The 17,256-nt window shown below is 48.1% G+C and overlaps 2 pseudogenes, besides 1 other annotated feature; both read right to left on the bottom strand.

The window, feature by feature from the left end:
- Nucleotides 5,717-6,216: an enhancer, noted in NCBI's record as "H3K4me1 hESC enhancer chr10:79530491-79530990 (GRCh37/hg19 assembly coordinates)". NCBI's record gives its function as "activates a minimal SCP1, AML or CMV promoter by ChIP-STARR-seq in naive H9 embryonic stem cells {active_cell/tissue: H9 hESC(naive)}" and the evidence as "EXISTENCE:reporter gene assay evidence [ECO:0000049][PMID:30033119]".
- On the bottom strand, nucleotides 11,936-12,039 carry RNU6-1266P (RNA, U6 small nuclear 1266, pseudogene; annotated as a pseudogene).
- Nucleotides 14,579-16,907, bottom strand: IMPDH1P5 (inosine monophosphate dehydrogenase 1 pseudogene 5; annotated as a pseudogene).

Consider the following 17,256-nt stretch of genomic DNA (forward strand, 5'->3'; position numbering starts at 1 on the left):
GGCAGGAGGATGACTGGAGGCCAGGAGTTCGAAACCAGGCTGGACAACATAGTGAAATTTCATCTCTACAAAATTTAAAATAATAATAATAATAATAACCAGGCATGGTGGCACATGGCTGTAGTCCCTACTCAGGAGGCTGAGGCAGGAGGAGGGTATGAGTTCGAGCCCAGGAGGTTGACGTTGCAGTGTGCTATGATTGTGCCACTGCAGTCTAGTCTAGGGTGACATTGTTTAAAACTGTTCAAACACACACAAAGTGAAAATTGTAAGTGCTCTTCTAAAAGCATTGCATGTTGGAAAATTAGACTAGGAGGCACTTTGACATCTTTTTAGACCACAGATTTCTGGGGAAGCCAGAAAGGAGCTGGGGTGGCAAAACTAGGAGCACAAGGAATGCCTCATTAGCTGTGCTGGGGGGCCAAGGGTGTGGAGAATAAGCCAGGCACCAGGAAAAGGCAGCTGCCATTCTCTCGCATACCCGGCACACCTTGCTGGGATGTTGGTATACCATGGGTAAAATGCCAAACCTAGCGCCATCTCTTCTTTAACCCCCTACAGTACTTTGTTTGTACTTTTCTTAGGGTACTCATGTTGCCCGCCTCCCTTTATAGATGCTCATATTTAATCCTTCCAAAAACATGTGCCCTGATGCCAAGGGCAAGATCTTCCCCGCCTCTGCATCCAGGAGCTCTGAAGTCTACACGAATGGAAATATATATTCAAAATACGTATTCAACATACCATTGGGGATTTGATCCAAATGGAAATCAAAGAAATAGGAGACTCAGTGTGAGCTCTGAGTATGTTTCCAGGCTTACTGAATAAGACACTATAAGTAGCTCTAACCCTGCAGATCAGTTAAACTGCAGCTGAGAGCTGCAGATGATCAGAATGGTGGGTGCAAGTTTATGTGGGGTCGAAGTTCATAATATTGAAAGAACTTCTTTAGAAAAAAAAAATATATATATATAGTTACAAATATATAATAAGGTCCAAGCCTTGGGGGTGTGAGGCCCTGAAGTTGAAACTTCAAGAACTTCAAGGGTAAATAGCCTGTGGTCTTTGCAAGTGGCTGGCGAAGGTGTCAAAGAGATGGGACTCACCCTTGACTGAGCCTGGAAGACTGGGCAGAATTTGGAAAGACAAAATAAAAAGGGCCGTGTGGCAGGATGAACAAAGACATTTAATATTGCCAGAGGCCTGCTTGGGGAGCCCGTGAGCAAACCAGTCCAATTGGACAGAAACGTTGCAAAGTCCAGGTGGAAAGAGGAAGGCTGGAAAGTCAGCTGAAGTCAGTTGGGGGTGGTGGGGGTGGGCCTTGAGTGTAGGCTGACATCTGAATTCTATTTCACTAGTTATAGGAGCCATGGATGTTTATTTTTTAAATGCAGTTCATTGACTTGAAGAAAACAATGTCTTAGGAAGATTAGCCTGGTTTTATTGTTCAAGGCAATGAAGCAGGAGGCACTTACAAAAGTCCAGGCTTGGGTGATAAGGGCCTAAACTTAGGCTGTTGATGAAACCCAGGTTGTAGCCGTGCGAATGAAAAGGAAATACCTAACTCAGTGGATTTTGGTGATTTTTAGAGACCAAGAAGAGAAGGATTCCAAGATGATTGAGGTTTCTGCTGAGTATTAGAGAATAACTGTATCATTAAGAGATATGAGAAGGTTAAGAGGGCCAGATTTGAAGGAGAAAATAGAAGTGGAGGATTTTAGATATTTCAGACTAGAGATGATGGGAGAACTATGAATTTTGAGATGGTCTTAGGGAACTGAGGGCTGGAGACTGATTTGGTAATCAGAAGCACCCATTTATTCATTCATGCCATAGGAATTTGGCTGGTAACCTCTGGAAAAATCAGCCCTGTGTTGCATGTCAAAAGGGATGTAACAGATGAAGTGGTCCCTCCCTTCAGTGAGTTAAATTTAGGATCTCAAGAGAGAAGAGATGGAGGTGAAATGAGTGAAGTAAGGCAGGGTCTATTGTGTACAAGAATGAGCGACCTAAATGTGGGGGAAGAGTTGGCTGTGGCGTCTGTCACCTACTGGTTTCCAAAGAGTATTAGACTCAGCTGACTCACCATGTGTATCCCCCATCCACTGTATCCCTCTCCAAATGGCAGGCTTGTCTGAAGAGAACAATGTCCATAGAGGTTACAACTGCCCTCTGCCCCCTGAGTAAAATGAGTTGTACAGACAATAAATATGATGCCGTTCATGAAATTGGAGGGAAACTCCCGGATCCTGGAGAAGGGAGAACTAGATCTGAACCTGTGAAGACGAGCAGTTTGCATAAGTGGAGGGGTGTAGAGGAAGCTGCCTTCCAAAAATGGCAGCTACAAAAAAATAGGGAGGATGTTTCCTAGGAGGTGGAGGAGATGTAACCCCATGGGGAAGCTCAACTGACTTTTCTCATGCTGTTCCCTCTGTTGAGAATGGCTGAAGCCAAGAAGCCAGTGTCAGAAACTAAAGAAAGGGAAACAAGAGTCGAGGTGGAAGATAAGGGTACAGGGTTGAGAGAGGAATGGGTGACAACTCCACGATTTTCAAGTGAAGCTGAACCCCCAACTTCCAACTTCTTGTTTACGTAGCAGTGAACTGCCTAGAGCTGTTTTTTGCAGAATCGTATAGAGTTGACCTCATGCATGTTTCTTTAACTTCTATCACTGACGTGTGTTTCAATTTCCTTGTTTCATGATACCCTTTCTTAAGCTTACGTGAATATGTGTAATACATTTTTAAATGTGACATATGTTAATTTTAGGCATGTCAGAGTAAAACAGCCACTATCAAGGGAAATCTGAAATCTGAAATCTGCAGGGTTTGATCTTCCTCTCAGTAATTTGACATCAAACTGTGTGTCCCATACTTTTAAGAAAAAACTGTTTGTGGTATACCCGCAAATCACGGGAGATCATACATATCTGAAGGTGCTGTTTATGAAACTACATTACTCTCAAACTCCTTGGCTGCCTGTTTTTTGTTTGTTTTGCCTTTAATAGGAGTTTTCTTTACTTATATGAATAAAGTGAAGACAGGGAGGACCAAAAAAAAGAATACAGTCACAATGAAATTAACTTTGCTACTTATTCCTACTTGGCCACCAAGATACAATAGATGTTGAGGCTGTGAGTAGGATGAGGGTTTGTAGTCATTTCCATAAATGGTCACACCCCATATTAATGGACAGATGGCCCATGTGGCAAGAGAGCTGGTTGGTCAATGGAACAGGACTTGCTGTAACCAGTGCTGAATAAGCTCACCAGCATCCAGCCTGAGATGAGGGGGGGAAGTCTGAGAGGCTTTGTCTGTCACTTTCAATTAACCAGGATCAACCAAGGTAAGCTTCTTGTCCTGACTGCTGAAAAGTTCTCACCCTAAAGAATCCTACCTTCCCCGATGCAAGATGGAAAATTGCTCAAACACTTAAAGCTATTCTCAATGAGAAACAAAAAAAGGACCACAGATACAAAGTAAGATCCTTTTGTTTATTAGAAGCTATTTCCACAAACTGAACAATTTGGAGACTGAGCATCCTTACACTGTGTATGTAGCTCTAGCAAATCCTACTATTTTACTCTCCTAGCTCAGATTCCTTTGTAAAAAGTCAGATGCTGCTGATGTTCATGAGGCTTCTCTTCTGGCACCAGGGCAGACAAGACAACCTGAAGGGCTTTCTGCAACAAAATGCCTAGAAAATGTTGGGTGCAATTTATAAAACATAATTTTAATGCATAGCTGAGCTCACAGGAAGGTAATGGAAACCCCCAGGAGTCAGAAGGCCAAGGGGACAGAACTCTGGAGAATGAAGCATAAGTGCCTGCTGTAGCTGCCTTGAAGGTGGAAGGGTATGGTAGGATGGGGCTGTTTTAGGAAATACACAGGGAAAAGTGACAGAAACCTTTGGCCTTGCCTATGGGTTGTTGGAACTAAGAAACCCCTCACACAGATACATAAATTTGGGATTATCTAGGAGCAACACAGCACCTTGGGAGATTGAGGCGGGAGGACTGCTTGAGGCCAGGAGCTTAAGACCAGCCTGGGCAACATAGCAAAACCGTATCTCTGCAAAAAAAAAATTTTTTTAATTAGCCAGGCATGGTGTGACATGATACTTGAGTAGTTCCAGCTACTCAAGAGGCTGAGCTGGGAGGATTAACCAATGTCTAGGATTCTCAGGGGTTCTGAAGTTCAAATATACACTGTCCTTTTATTTTGGGAACTCAAAAAATTGTCTCTAAGCCTATACTATCCCTCAGTGACCTTGCATAAGCAAATCACAAATGTCTACAGGACCCATCCACAAGCCAGGCCTCACAGGAGTCCCACTGATACAGCCCTGCTAAAGCTGAGTGCACAGTCCAAGAATTAATCCATTTAAACAATCTACCCCTTGGCCTACATTTTCTCCTTGCTCCTTCCAGCTACAAGTTACGCCGCTCTGTGATACAAACTGTTCCTCTCACGCAGCAGAATTAGAACCGAAGGACTGTTTTCCCTTCCTGTATCCTATTTCTTGCCTCCTTGAGAGCAGTCCCTAAGTTCCTTATAGCTCCCATGCATTGTTTATACTTAAAATACACCACGTGCTCCCACAAATAATACACACTGGTTTGCAACCTCAAGCTCACAGGTGATGGGAATAATGCCCACGATAAAAGCCTGTGAGCCAGCTCACGTCAGAATCAAGACTAGGGTACAAGTCCTCAGGCTCCTGGCTCCTGCTCTTTCCACTTCACTATTTTGCTTCTCTTTTTCTTGCAGCGAGTATTGGCAATAGTAAAATGAGTCCCACTTCTCTGATAACTCACCAACCATGTTGGAGAGAAAGTATCTGAGAAGTCAGTTGAAACAACCACCACAACAAAAACTAATTCCCAAGACAGATGATCCTTGAGTGGATAATTGCCACTTGATTGTTTATTAGAGCCATGGCTCCTGTACGGGGACTGGTGAGGGCGGGTGTTGGGATTACCTTTCAAAGGGCCATTCAGAGGGGAAAAGCTACCTGTGCTCAAAAACAACCAATGAGGGTCTCTTGGATTACCAGGAGGCTGAAAAGCCCAGAGATGGTGGGCACAGTGAAAGGTTGGGGCAGTGGGGCCAAAGACATAAATAAAGGACTCTGTGTTTTAGGACTCTAGGAGCTCATCACTAAACAAAGTGCATACTCCACACTCCCTGCAGAGGCTGTGTTGCCGTCTGCTGTGTGAGTGAAGGTGACAGCTCATCCCGCTAGCATCAGCACCACCAGATTGCTGTCAGGATCTCGAGGGCAAGGCCCATGTCTGATTCAATAACCTGTATTCTGAGCACTCAGAAGAGAGCTTGGCACACTGTCAGTGCTCCCTAAAGAAGTTAAATGGATGCTGCATAACCAGGGCAGCCCAGCAGCGTCGGTCCAGAGACAAGGGAGTGACACCTGCTCCCCGACGCAGTATATTCCGTACACCACAGCTCTGAATGTCCATGTTCAACTCATGCGGTGGTGGGGAGGAGATGAGAGAGACCTGAGACACGAGGCACCTCTGAATGATCCCCCCACGGCCCACAGGGCTGGCAGCCCCCTAGGAGACCCTGGAATGGACTCGCGGACAGCAGCCACCTATCTCATGGCTCACACGTCCCCGCCCTTCAGCTTATGTTGCTTCCCTGCTCTTTCCTGCTAAAGTGGCCCCTGCTGAATGCCGCCAGCCACGGGGTCATGCAGCTTCCCTCCTGAGCCTGATCCACTGAGGTTTCCACATGTGTAGTCAGGGGCTTTGCTATGACTGAGCTGAAGACGCCTTCTTCCCTTTGAGGCCAGAAAGAGAAAGCCCATGGGAGCTGAAGTGCAGATGGGCAGCACTGGCTCTTCCCTGTCAATGTGTGGATGGCAGAGGCATAGTCCTGGCTGGTACCTGCTGCCTCGGCCTTGGAGGTCACCACAGACCTGTCTCTTCTGTGGTTATCGCGCTTTGCCTGCCGCTGAGTCTCTCTGAGGTGATGCTCCTCCTGTCGTTGGCTTGGCCCTCCAACCCAGACTGCATACTGTGGCCTCTCAAAGCAATGTCGCCTGATACTCAGGCCAGAAAGAGAAGGGAGGAGAGTGGGGAGGAGAGGGGTGGAGGCGATAGCAGAACTTCCTTCCAGAGTCTCTATATTCTTCTGTGTTGTTTGAACACAACAACCATATACTATCTCTGTGATTTAAATTCAAATTTCAATGAGAATTAAAAGTTGAAGCTCAGGCCACACTGCTGTGCGTTTTTTAGAGAGATATGTTTGACTGAAAGCATATCAAGGGGCAGGAAGAATTTTTTGCTGGGCAGTATAACCAGGGCAGAGAAAGGTTTTTATTTCTTAAAAATATTTTCTATATCATAAAAAAAAAAAAAAAAAAAAGGCCAGGAGTCAAAACTAGACCCTCCTTCGGCCCCATGGACCTAGCCAGTGGAGCAGGGGTCCCAGCCCTCATGCCATGAGGTGCTGGGGAGAGGCAAGAGAGAGCTGGTGCTGCTGCCATTCTCCCCAGCTGAGTACAGGACCCAGGAGGAAGGCCCAGCCCCAGTCGGGGTGCAGCAGCTGCAGACAGACCCTACTCTTTGTGGTCAGGCCACACTCTGAGACATAGTTCAACCTCTGGACAACTTTCCCTGTGAGCCCAACTCAACCCATCCCAGTCCGGCCCAAGAGGTGTCATCATCATCACATTGAGGGCCAGCTGCCCCATCACAGGGCAAGCAGCCCTGACCCAGGAGGTAACCGGAAGCAGCTTTGCTCCTCTAGAAACAGAATCCACGTGAGGCTCACTGCCCTCCTAGGGGGTCTCCATGTGTTCCCTTCCCCTATCCCAAGGGAAAGTCTCCAAGCCTTGTCTTTACAGAAGGGAACATTGAGACCCAAAGAACCGGGCTGACTCTGTCCACGTCACCGGGGCACAGCCAGAAGCCTTTTAACACCAACTCCCTTGAATAAGACATTCCTGGCACCCAGAAGGGATTTCTATGCTCAGAGCCATACCTTCACTCTCCATACAAGACAGAAATCTCAGTTTACTCAGTACACGCACCCGGAGTGAGGTCAGAATTCCCCCTGATTTCATACCAGTAGTTTATTAAGGAAGCCAGGCCACCAGCTGTCATTCTGATGCTCTCAAGAAGGCAGTCTCCGGTAGAAATGCACCAATCCTTTTCGCTGATGTTTCTCCTGCTTTTAAGTAGCCTCATTAAGAAAAGTAATTAGGACCTTATTAAGAAGTCCTTTCAGTTGTCGTCGTTAAGAAGAAGGTGCTCATCAGCTATCCTAGGTGGAGTCCTCGGCCTCCTCCCAGAAGAACTTGTCTTCATGGACACAAACATATATTCCCAGGAGCCAATGAAGAGAGCTTGAACTCTGCCTTCTCCTGGGTTCCCTTCCCAGGAAGCAATCTTGCCCTGGAGTGGGGGCAGCAGGATTGCAGGGCAAAAAGAGTAGGGGAAGGACCTCACATCCAGGGTAAGGGGCTATCTACCTCGAAAGGGCCAGTAAGGAACATCTGGGGAAGGAGACCAGAGGCCCTTTGTGACTCCCTCAGATTAGTTCCGTGTGTAGGTAGAGCTCCAACCTGAAAACCCAGCAAGGAATTGGACTGGGGTCAGGGAAGCAGTGGCAGGGACCTGTGGCCCAGCCAATTCATGGACCAGCCTTGCCCGGCCCGGGGTCTGCTTGCACCAAGGAATGTGTGCAGTGGCAGGAAAGCTGTTCTCCATACTGATCAGAAATCTGCCTCCTGGAATGTCTTTCCTTGGGCCTGCTTCTGATGGCCGTCCAGATATGTAGGGTCCAGCCCTATGGGGCTTAGCGGGTGTTCTCCCCGTGTGCAGAGACAAGAGATTGTAATAAATGAAGGCACAAGACAAAGAGATAAAGAGAAAGCAGCTGGGCCCGGGGGACCACTACCATCAAGACATGGAGACCGGTAGTGGCCCCGAACAGCTGGGCTCGCTGATATTTATTGCACACAAGACAAGGGGGCAGGGTAAGGAGGGTGAATCTTCTAAGTGATTGACAAGGTGAAGCAAGTCACGTGATTACAGGATAGGCGGGCCCTTCCCTTTTAGGTAGCCAAAGCAGAGAGAGAAGGCAGCATATGACAGCGTTTTCTGTTCACACGTACAAGAAAGATCAAAGACTTTACTTTCACTATTTCTTCTACCGCTATCTACTACGAACTTCAAAGAGGAACCAGGAGTACGGGAGGAGCATGAAAGTGGACAAGGAGTGTGACCATTGAAGCACAGCACCACAGGGAGGGGTTTAGGCCTCTGGATGACTGAAGGCAGGCCTGGATAATATCCAGCCTTCCACAAGAAGCTGGTGGAGCAGAGTGTTCCCTGACTCCTCTAAGGAAAGGAGACTCCCTTTCACGGTCTGCTAAGTAACGGTGCCTTCCCAGACACTGGCGTTACCACTTGACCAAGGAGCCCTCAAGCAGCCCTTATGCAGGCGTGACAGAAGGCTCACCTCTTGCCTTCTAGATCACTTCTCACAATGTCCCTTAAGCACCTGACCCTATACCCACCGGTTATTCCTAGGTTATATTAGTAATGCAACAAAGAGTAATATTAAAAGCTAATGATTAATGTTGATAATAATGATTGATAATTGTTCATGATCATCTCTGTATCTAATTTGTATTATGACTATTCTTATTCTAACTATTTTCTTTATTATACTGAAACAGTTTGTGCCTTCAGTCTCTTGCCTCAGCACCTAGGTAATCCTCCGCCCACACAGATATTTGAAGCCAGTGACACTGTCCTCCTAAAATGTCTCTGGATTTGCCGTCAGGATTTGCTGTAGGATGTGTTTTGTAACTCAACCTGTGATCTGTCCTCCAAAGGACAGCCTCAGGAACGTGGGGAATCTGATCGCCTGTATCCTACCTCTGTGTGGGCAGAGGAGCTGCTTTTTGTGTTCAGGGTGATAATGCATTTTCTATTTCATTTAAATTCACTCTCGGCCTTCTTTCCAGATTAGTAGCAGGCCCAGTGTCTCTCCTGGGAATACCCTAGTCCCCTTGAGTTGTCCCAAGAATCGCTAGAGGTGGCTCAGTCCTGTTTCCCCGGGGAAAGGCCAAACCTCTCCATTCTCTTGGCGAGAGTTAAGAACCAGCCACAATTGTAAGCTGCCATTGCTTCTGCTGCTTCCATAGGGTGTTGCTGCTGACCCACTGATCCCAAACAAGAACAGACATTCTTGCCCACAAATAGGATGGTTTTCATGATGGTTCAGATCCCCACTGAGGTCATGGACGCACACTGAGCTGCTCTAATCTCGCCTTTTAGGCTCATCTACAGGGCCAGCTAGAGCCCTCGCCGCCATGTCATCTCCTTGGATAACCTTTCTTTGCAGTGGCCCTCAGCTGCAAAAGCCTAAGAACAAATCCAGAGGAAGCTGGCCTCCGAGGAGGAATGCACACGGAACCACCCTGTCTCCGGGGAGCTTGGAGTTTTAGTTTTGTCCAAGCTCGCAGGGCAAGGCTGCCCACTCATCTTGCGGAGGGACACAGCTAAGAGGGGCTTTTGTGGAGGTTCTCCTCCAAGCAAAGATCCTGGTTTGGGCTCTGATCTACACACAAAAGTAGCAGGACCCTGCAGCTTTGTTGACAAAACATTTGGAAAATGCACCCATGCCACCAGGCCACCTGCCTATTTCTAGCAATCACTTCTGGTTGAATTCTTTAAAAAAAAAAAAATCTTGAAAATAAGCCCTTAAAAGGTTGTTTAAGAAGTCTAACTCTCTCACAGTCAACGGTACCCACTTTGGAAATGGGTCATCTCCCCTTCCTAACTGCCCTGGGGGATGAGGGTAAGGGATGATAGGGCCCCTTGTGAGATGACATTTGAAGTATTTGTGTCATTGTCCTAACAGAACAGATGCCTGTCTGCAGGACACTGACTGGGCCATAGTCACTCATGCATGTGTTCACAGTGTGGTCCATGCACACCCCCTATCTGGCCCTTCCCTAACAGCTGCTGCAACCCTGCCAGACTGCTGGAGGTGGAATTGGCCAGGCTGGCTATCTCAGGCCTCTAGCCATGGCATTAGCCAGTCAGCACAGACACAACCCCAAGGGTCCACATGCCCAGGCAGACATAAGGTGGCTGGAAAGGCAGCTGCCCCTGCCCTAAGGACTGTTAGTCCAAACTGCACCATTCTGTAAACACCCTCCACCCATACCCCTGCATTTCACAGATCTTGGTTAAAGTGAAACATTCCATGGGGGTTTGGGCCATGAGAAACAGCCTGACCAACCACCTGACTTTCTTACATTCTGCTGTAAAAAAGTACAAAGAACATCACATTCAGCCAGAACAAGGGCCAAACCACCTCATCGTGGGAACATGTTATCAACCTTTTCCCAGGCAACATGCTCCCCAAGATCCCTCCTGCCCAGGGTTATAATTGCCCCAGCCTGTAAGCAGTGGTGAGCACTGGCATTAAGCTGGTCCCCCATCTCTGCAGGTCTCATGCTGAACATAGAACCTGCATTGCTGTAGAGCCGCCGACTCCCTTTCTTTAACCCTCGCCTTCCCTTTAAAAAACCTAATGAGGATGTCTCACAGCTAAACCTTAGAAACCATGACCTTCACTGAAACTGGCTGAGTTTAAGGAGAGGCTCTTAGTCATGGTCAGTTTCCCCTCTCCTCTGGCTCCCACCTCCCTTGGCCATGCTGTGTCCCTTGAGGGATGAGCACACCTGGCTGCTTCTCCAGACACTAGTCCCCTCCGATTACCAGCTCTGGGCTGGGCTGACCACCTTCTCAACCATCCTGGTCAGCATCCTACGTTCTATCTCTTACAGCAAACAACCAGCCTATTTCCTTCAATGCCTCCTTCACTGTTTCTTTGAGACTAGAGTAATATAATGCTTTTAACAGTGGAAAGACTATAAAAAATGAAGTTATCAATACTCAATAAGTGAGTACATTCTCCCAAATAAATACTATGTGTGTTGCCATAAAAAAGAATGCAGCAGATCCACATGGTCTGATACAGGAAAATTTCCATGGCATTGGGTAGGGAAAAAATCTAGTAGGTGGATTATAATTATGTTTAGGAAAAAATATGAAAGGGGAATACAAGACTATTTTTTGCTCGTATAGACATTAAACTGCAACAGTAGTTACTAAGTGGAATTTAAGATAGAGCACAATAGACTCCCCTCTAAACATGATTACAAAAAGTACAAACACAGACTAGTCTGTTTTTCTGTCATGAAAACCCATGTACTCACCACTTAGATCTAAGACTACATTTCGCCATACTGCATTATAAATTTTTTTTAATGAGCCATTTCAGAGGAAATTACTTCAGATGCTGCATCTTTAAAGTGTTGAGTTTACCTTGCCTCAACATATTCCCCTACAAGATGCCATTAACACCCTAACACAATAAGTGATTCCCCAATACCATATAATTGAGTCCATATGAAAATCTCAATTGTTTCCCAAATGTTGTTGCTGATCACCAGGGGCTTGGTCTAGGTCCTGTTGCTCACCACACAGAAAGCCAATCACTGTGGCAACAAGTATTGCCAGGGAAGAAGATTTTATTTGAGTGATGTCAGCCAGAGAGAAGGGAGACCAGCCTCAAATACGTCCCTTCCCACCAACTAAAGTTAAGGGAAAAGAAGAGGGGCAGGGACGAGGAGTTGGTCAATAGGCAGCAGGCGGTAGTATAAGGGGTTCCAGCATCTCATTGTAACCACATGTGGGAAAACAGGAATGAGGCAGGGATAAGAAGTTGGTCAACAAGGAGCAGGTGCACCTCACTGTCCAGTGGCAGTGATCTGGAAAGTCTCAGTTCCCGGTATCATTCAGGAGGCCCGATGGTTGGTTTCCCAAGAAAGGAACTCAGATAAGACAAATGTAAGTTTTCCAAGCTTCAAGGTTTTTGTTTTTTTTAAAATATGGAATCCTTCACTAATTTGAGTGTCATCCTTACAGGGGCCATGCTAATCTTCTCTGTATCGTTCCAATTTTAGAATATGTGCTGCTGAAGTGAGCACTTTGTTTTTTCAAGACAACAGTTTCATTCTTTCACCCAGGCTGGAGTGAAGTGGCACCATCTTGGCTCACTGCAACCTCCACCTCCCAGATTCAAGTGATTCTCCTGCCTCAGCCTCCCAAGTAGCTGGGATTACAGGTGTATGCCACCACGCCTGGCTAATTTTTGTATTTTCAGTAGAGGCGGGGTTTTGCCATGTGGGCCAGGCTGGTCTCGAACTCCTGACCTCAGGTGATCCACCCACCTTGGCCTCCTAAAGTGCTAGAATTACAGGCTTGAGCCACCGCGCCCGGCCCAAGCTTCAGTTTTATGAGAAAACTGGGCCTGTTTCAATGTTTATTTTATTTGGTTATTCAAGTCTCAACATTCTTTCAATCTAAAACAGTCCTCCCACCAGCCCTCCTTCCCCAGCCCTTTTTAAATCCATAGCATTGAAGAGACCAGGTCATTGTCTTATAGAATATCCTTCATTTTAGATTTGCCTGATTGTGTCTTCATTCCCTAAACTTCCTATAAACCAGCAGTTGGATTTAAAGCCTTGATAAGACCCAGGTGGAGGATTTTTGGCAAGAACACATTCCAGTTGACACTGTGTACTTACTTACTTCATGTTGTAACTCATATCTGGTGGTTTCATTATGGGATCTACTAGAATATACAGACCATGGGCAGATCATATACAAAAACAGAACTCTGACCCACAGTCTGCAGTAACCAGTCCAGGAAGCCAAACAACCCCTGTAGCCTTTGGTCCCAAATGGCCCGGACTTGATCAGTACCTGCCAGCTTCCCTAATTCTTGCCTCTGTTTTGAAAATCCTTTAGTAGGACCAACCAGAGAAGGCCAAATATGCTTCCCTAACCAATCACATAGGATACCCTGCTTCTAGTTAGCTCACCCACAGCCTCCAGATGCCAACAGCCTTTGATCAAGGCTCACCTGAAGCCTCCCCTTTTCCCAGCATAAAGCTTTCTCACTCCGCTGACTGCCTTTGAGTGTCTGCAATGGCAAGTGACTGTGGCTGACTCTCTGTGTATATACCACACTGAGAATAAGTAGCTGCTGCTCATTTTCATTTGGGTGGTCTATAATTATTACTGAAGTGAAGTGTGATCACAGTTAAGGTGGTAATAGTCAGACCCTTTACACTGTCGATGGACTCAGACTTTTTACTTCATGCCTTGCTTATACTGCTTGGATGTTTTCCATGTGCCTATATTAATATTTACAATAAAAGCATGATTTAGATTTTCATTTAGAATTTATCTTAAATGCATCAAATATGCAATTTTAAGTCAAGTTTTGCATGTTTGGCTCAAAATATCAAAATAATGTTGTGTGGTTTTAAAATAACAAGGTTTATTGCTCTTTATATTAGACATGTAGTTAATTACGTTGATCTCCATAAAAATAAGTTTAATTTTAATTTGAATAAAAGAATGCCACAATGAAATACTGACCATTAAAAAAAAAAAAAAGAATAAAGGACCTTAACCCTGGGCAAACATATAAAAGCATAGGAAAGTCACCCAGTATAATGTCTGGCACATTGCAGGTGTTTTGCAATTAGAGCCCATTCCCACGGTGGTGCACACTGCACAAGACCACAGAGGTCCAGCCCTTTTATCTTTCTGGTCCCATCCAGTCATCACCCATAGTGAATCCCGAAGGCAGCATCTCCACCCACCGTACTGGAGGACCACCGACAACTCCTAGTCCTCAGGGGAAACTCCCTTCCATATTCTTCTTGGTGGCGGCCAATATACATTTCTTTCTTCACTTCCCAGGACGTTTGACATACTTGGTGTTCCTCCCTCCAAGCTCCTCCCTTCCCTTCAGGTCTCAAGGTCTCATCCAACACTTCAAGCTCAAAATATCACACAAGCATCAAGGGGGTGAGCCCAGACAGGCACTCTTCCTTGTCCAGTTTCGGGAGAAGATCTCTGTTCCCTGTGACCCCAGGATACACAATGGCTGTTCTACACTCAGGAATCACTACATGTGATTCCCAGGACAGGGGCTGCAACTCTTCTGCTAAGAGCTCCCATAGCCCCAGGGCTCCCCCACCCCCACCCCATATACACACACCCCTCTCCCAGTCTTCTGTGTCTTTCTCGAGGACTGGTTAGCATTTTGGTAGCACCTTTGCCAGGGAAGCAGGCTCCCCAGGATGCACTTTGAACCCTCCCCCTACTGACATGGACTTGCGTTCTCCTGCCTCTAGGCTCCTTGCCTGGCAGTTCTGCACTTTCGGACTCCCCTCCTCTAACGAGTCCATTTGCCACCACAGCAGTGACTGCAGTAGGGTCACGGCACCTGTTTTCTGTGTTATGTGGAAAAAAATTAAGATACTGAACATTTATGTATGCTACCTTCTGGGTGTGAAGGAGGGAACATGAATTCACATTTGATTTAGCTGGTATCTGCAGAAAGCAGCAGTAGGGATTTAGAAATGCATAAAAATAGTGTTACTTTTTGGGATGAAGAGTGGCATGAGACTGATATCTATATATATATCTATATAGATATAGATATATATTTGGAGGCATTGAAACCTGCTTGATTTATTCTGATTATTTAATACACACTGACGCAACTGTGATCCCAAAGAGTGCAAAGTTAAAGCCTTCAACTGCAGCTGAGGAAGAGGGCAGGAATGGTACACCTCGGGACGGTGGTGAGTCAGGAATGACAGGCAGGTAGCCATGACCAGGGCAGCTTCCTCCCCAGGGCCAGGAACAGGGGAGTAGCCTGAGGAGCAGGACCCAAGGGTAGCCCAGGGCCGGGGAAGGGGGCAGAGACCTCCCCTTGGCCTAGGTCAGGAGCTCAGAAGTGCCACATGGCTGAGGGGACAGGACCCTGGAAGGGCCAGAGGCAGGGCCAGGACAGCACCATTTCCTGGGGGTCTGGGGGCAGGAAGCTGCCCTAGAGAAGAAGCCAGGAGGGGTTGCCTGCCCCTGGGGTGGGGGCCAGGCTGAAGGAGGCTGCAGCAGGCTGCAGCAAGAAAGACCTGAGGCAGGTGCAGGGCCTGAGAGCCCAGCTAGCTGAGCAGGGGGGGCTCCCAGGGCAGCCTGGCCCAGGAAGCAGTCCTGACTCTGCAGGGGATGCCAAGCAAGGGGCCGCAGACCCCTCAGGACCTCCCCTCTTCTCTCCCTGGAAAGGAGCTGGGGAACCCATAGTGCAAATCTGTGTACCACTCAGTGATGGAGGGAGACTGTGCCCCAAGGTGGACACTGGGGTGCACCCCCTCCACCACCTCAGCCTCCACCGCTGTCCTCATCACAGCTGCTTCTCATACGAGTGCAGGCCATGGACACCACCCTTGATCTGGGCCGACATGGTCTGCTTCTCAAACTTGAGCTCCCCTGAGTACATCATGGACCAAAGGACAGACAGGCTGCGGGCCCCGATATCCTGGCAGCTGTGCTGGATGCCCGCTATGAGGTAGGGCACGAACTTCTGAATGGACCCTTTGTCCTGGATGGAGCCCGAGACACCCTGTGCGATCTTCACCTTATCCCCCTTGCTGAAGTATCGTTTCTGGCTGCTGCTGCTCTTCTCCATGGCATCCAGTGAGCCCATGCCCTGGTACTTCTTGAGCTGCACCCTTTCTAAGAAGAAGTACTCACCAGGTGCCTCCGTGGTGGTGGCCAGCAGGAGCCCATCATCACTGTGGAGGCTCCAAGGGCCAGGGCCTTGACCACGTGCCCCACAGTCTGGATGCCACCATCGACTATGATGGGCACACCAAAGCACTGGGCATACTTGGCCACCTTGTACACAGCAGTGCCCTGGGGCCAACCGCAGGCCATCACTTTCTGGGTAATGCAGATGGAGCCGTAGCCCATGCCCACATGCAGCCCGTCCACACGAGCGTCCATCAGGTTCTTGGCCTGGGCTGCTGTCACCACGTTCCCCCCAATCACCTGGAGGTGGGGGTACTTCTGTTTGATGTAATGCACCATGGTGATCTGATACACCGAGCTCCCTTGGGATGAGTCCAAGACTACAACATTGACACCCGCCTGGGTGAGCAGGTCCAGGTGGCATTCGTCATCCTCACGGGTGCCCACAGCTGCCCTGCACAGCAGCTGTTTGTGGGAATCCTTGGAGGCCAGAGGGTAGTCTCGATTCTTCTTCAGGTCAGTGCGGGCAATGATGGCCACCAGCTCATCGCGATCACTGACGATAGGCAGCTTCCCTTTCTTGTTACGCTGCAGGATCTCATTTGCCTCTTTCAACGTCACACCTTTCAACGTCAGCCACCACCAGTTCCATCCTTGGCGTCATCACCTCACTGATGAAGGTGGCGTGCTCCTTCTTAGCAAGAAAGTCGACGTCTCGGGAGGTGATGATGCCCACCAGCTTGCTGCCCATGGTGCCCGTCTCAGTGAGGGGGATACCAGAGAAGCCATGCAGCATCTTGGCCTCCAAGCACATCACCCACGGTGTGCAAGGGGCTCAGCACCACAGGGTCCGTGATGAAGCCCTGTTCAAACTTCTTGACCTTCAGCACCTCATTGGCCTCGAACTCTGGGGTGCAGTTGTGGTGAATGAAACCAATACCTCCCATCAGAGCCATCCCGATTGCCATGTCAGCCTCTGTCAGTGTCCACAGGGGAGGAGATCAGCGGCGTCTTCAGCCCTTGTGGGTCAGGGCTGAGGTCAGGTCCACCTCATCATCAGCTATGAAGTCTATGAATCCTGGGAGAATCAGGAAGTCATTGTAGGTGAGGCCGTTGGTGCTGGTGAAGAGCTGCTGCGCGGTGAGCCCGTCCTCGGGCACGTAGCTGGTGCCGCTGCTGATCAGGTAGTCTGCCAGGCTGCCGTGACACCCCGCGACCCGACATAAACACCCGAGTGGCCACCTGCCGCAGGCACACTGCCACTGCGGGCCGGGCACAGGGGCTCTCAGTGTAAATCTTTTTATATCCCTTCTACTTTTGGGAAAAAAAAATGCCCCAGGAAGGTCTGATCACCAAATCCTTCCAGAGAGCGATCTTCCAAGCCAAAGAGGTTTTCAGTCCCACCCACTGAAATCATCCAGTCCTTTATTCACCTGTGTCAACCCGGCTCGGAGGTGTGGCCTGCGAGATCCTTCATGCAATCAAGAAGTCAGGCCTCCACCTGGTCCTGGGGGTCATCTGAGGCCCGCAGTTTTGGAAGAGGAATGTTTTCTGCCAGCAGTTCCCACAGACGGGCTGGCTCCCCACTGTGG

Source organism: Homo sapiens, chromosome 10 (assembly GCF_000001405.40).
Source record: "Homo sapiens chromosome 10, GRCh38.p14 Primary Assembly".
NCBI lineage: Eukaryota > Metazoa > Chordata > Mammalia > Primates > Hominidae > Homo > Homo sapiens.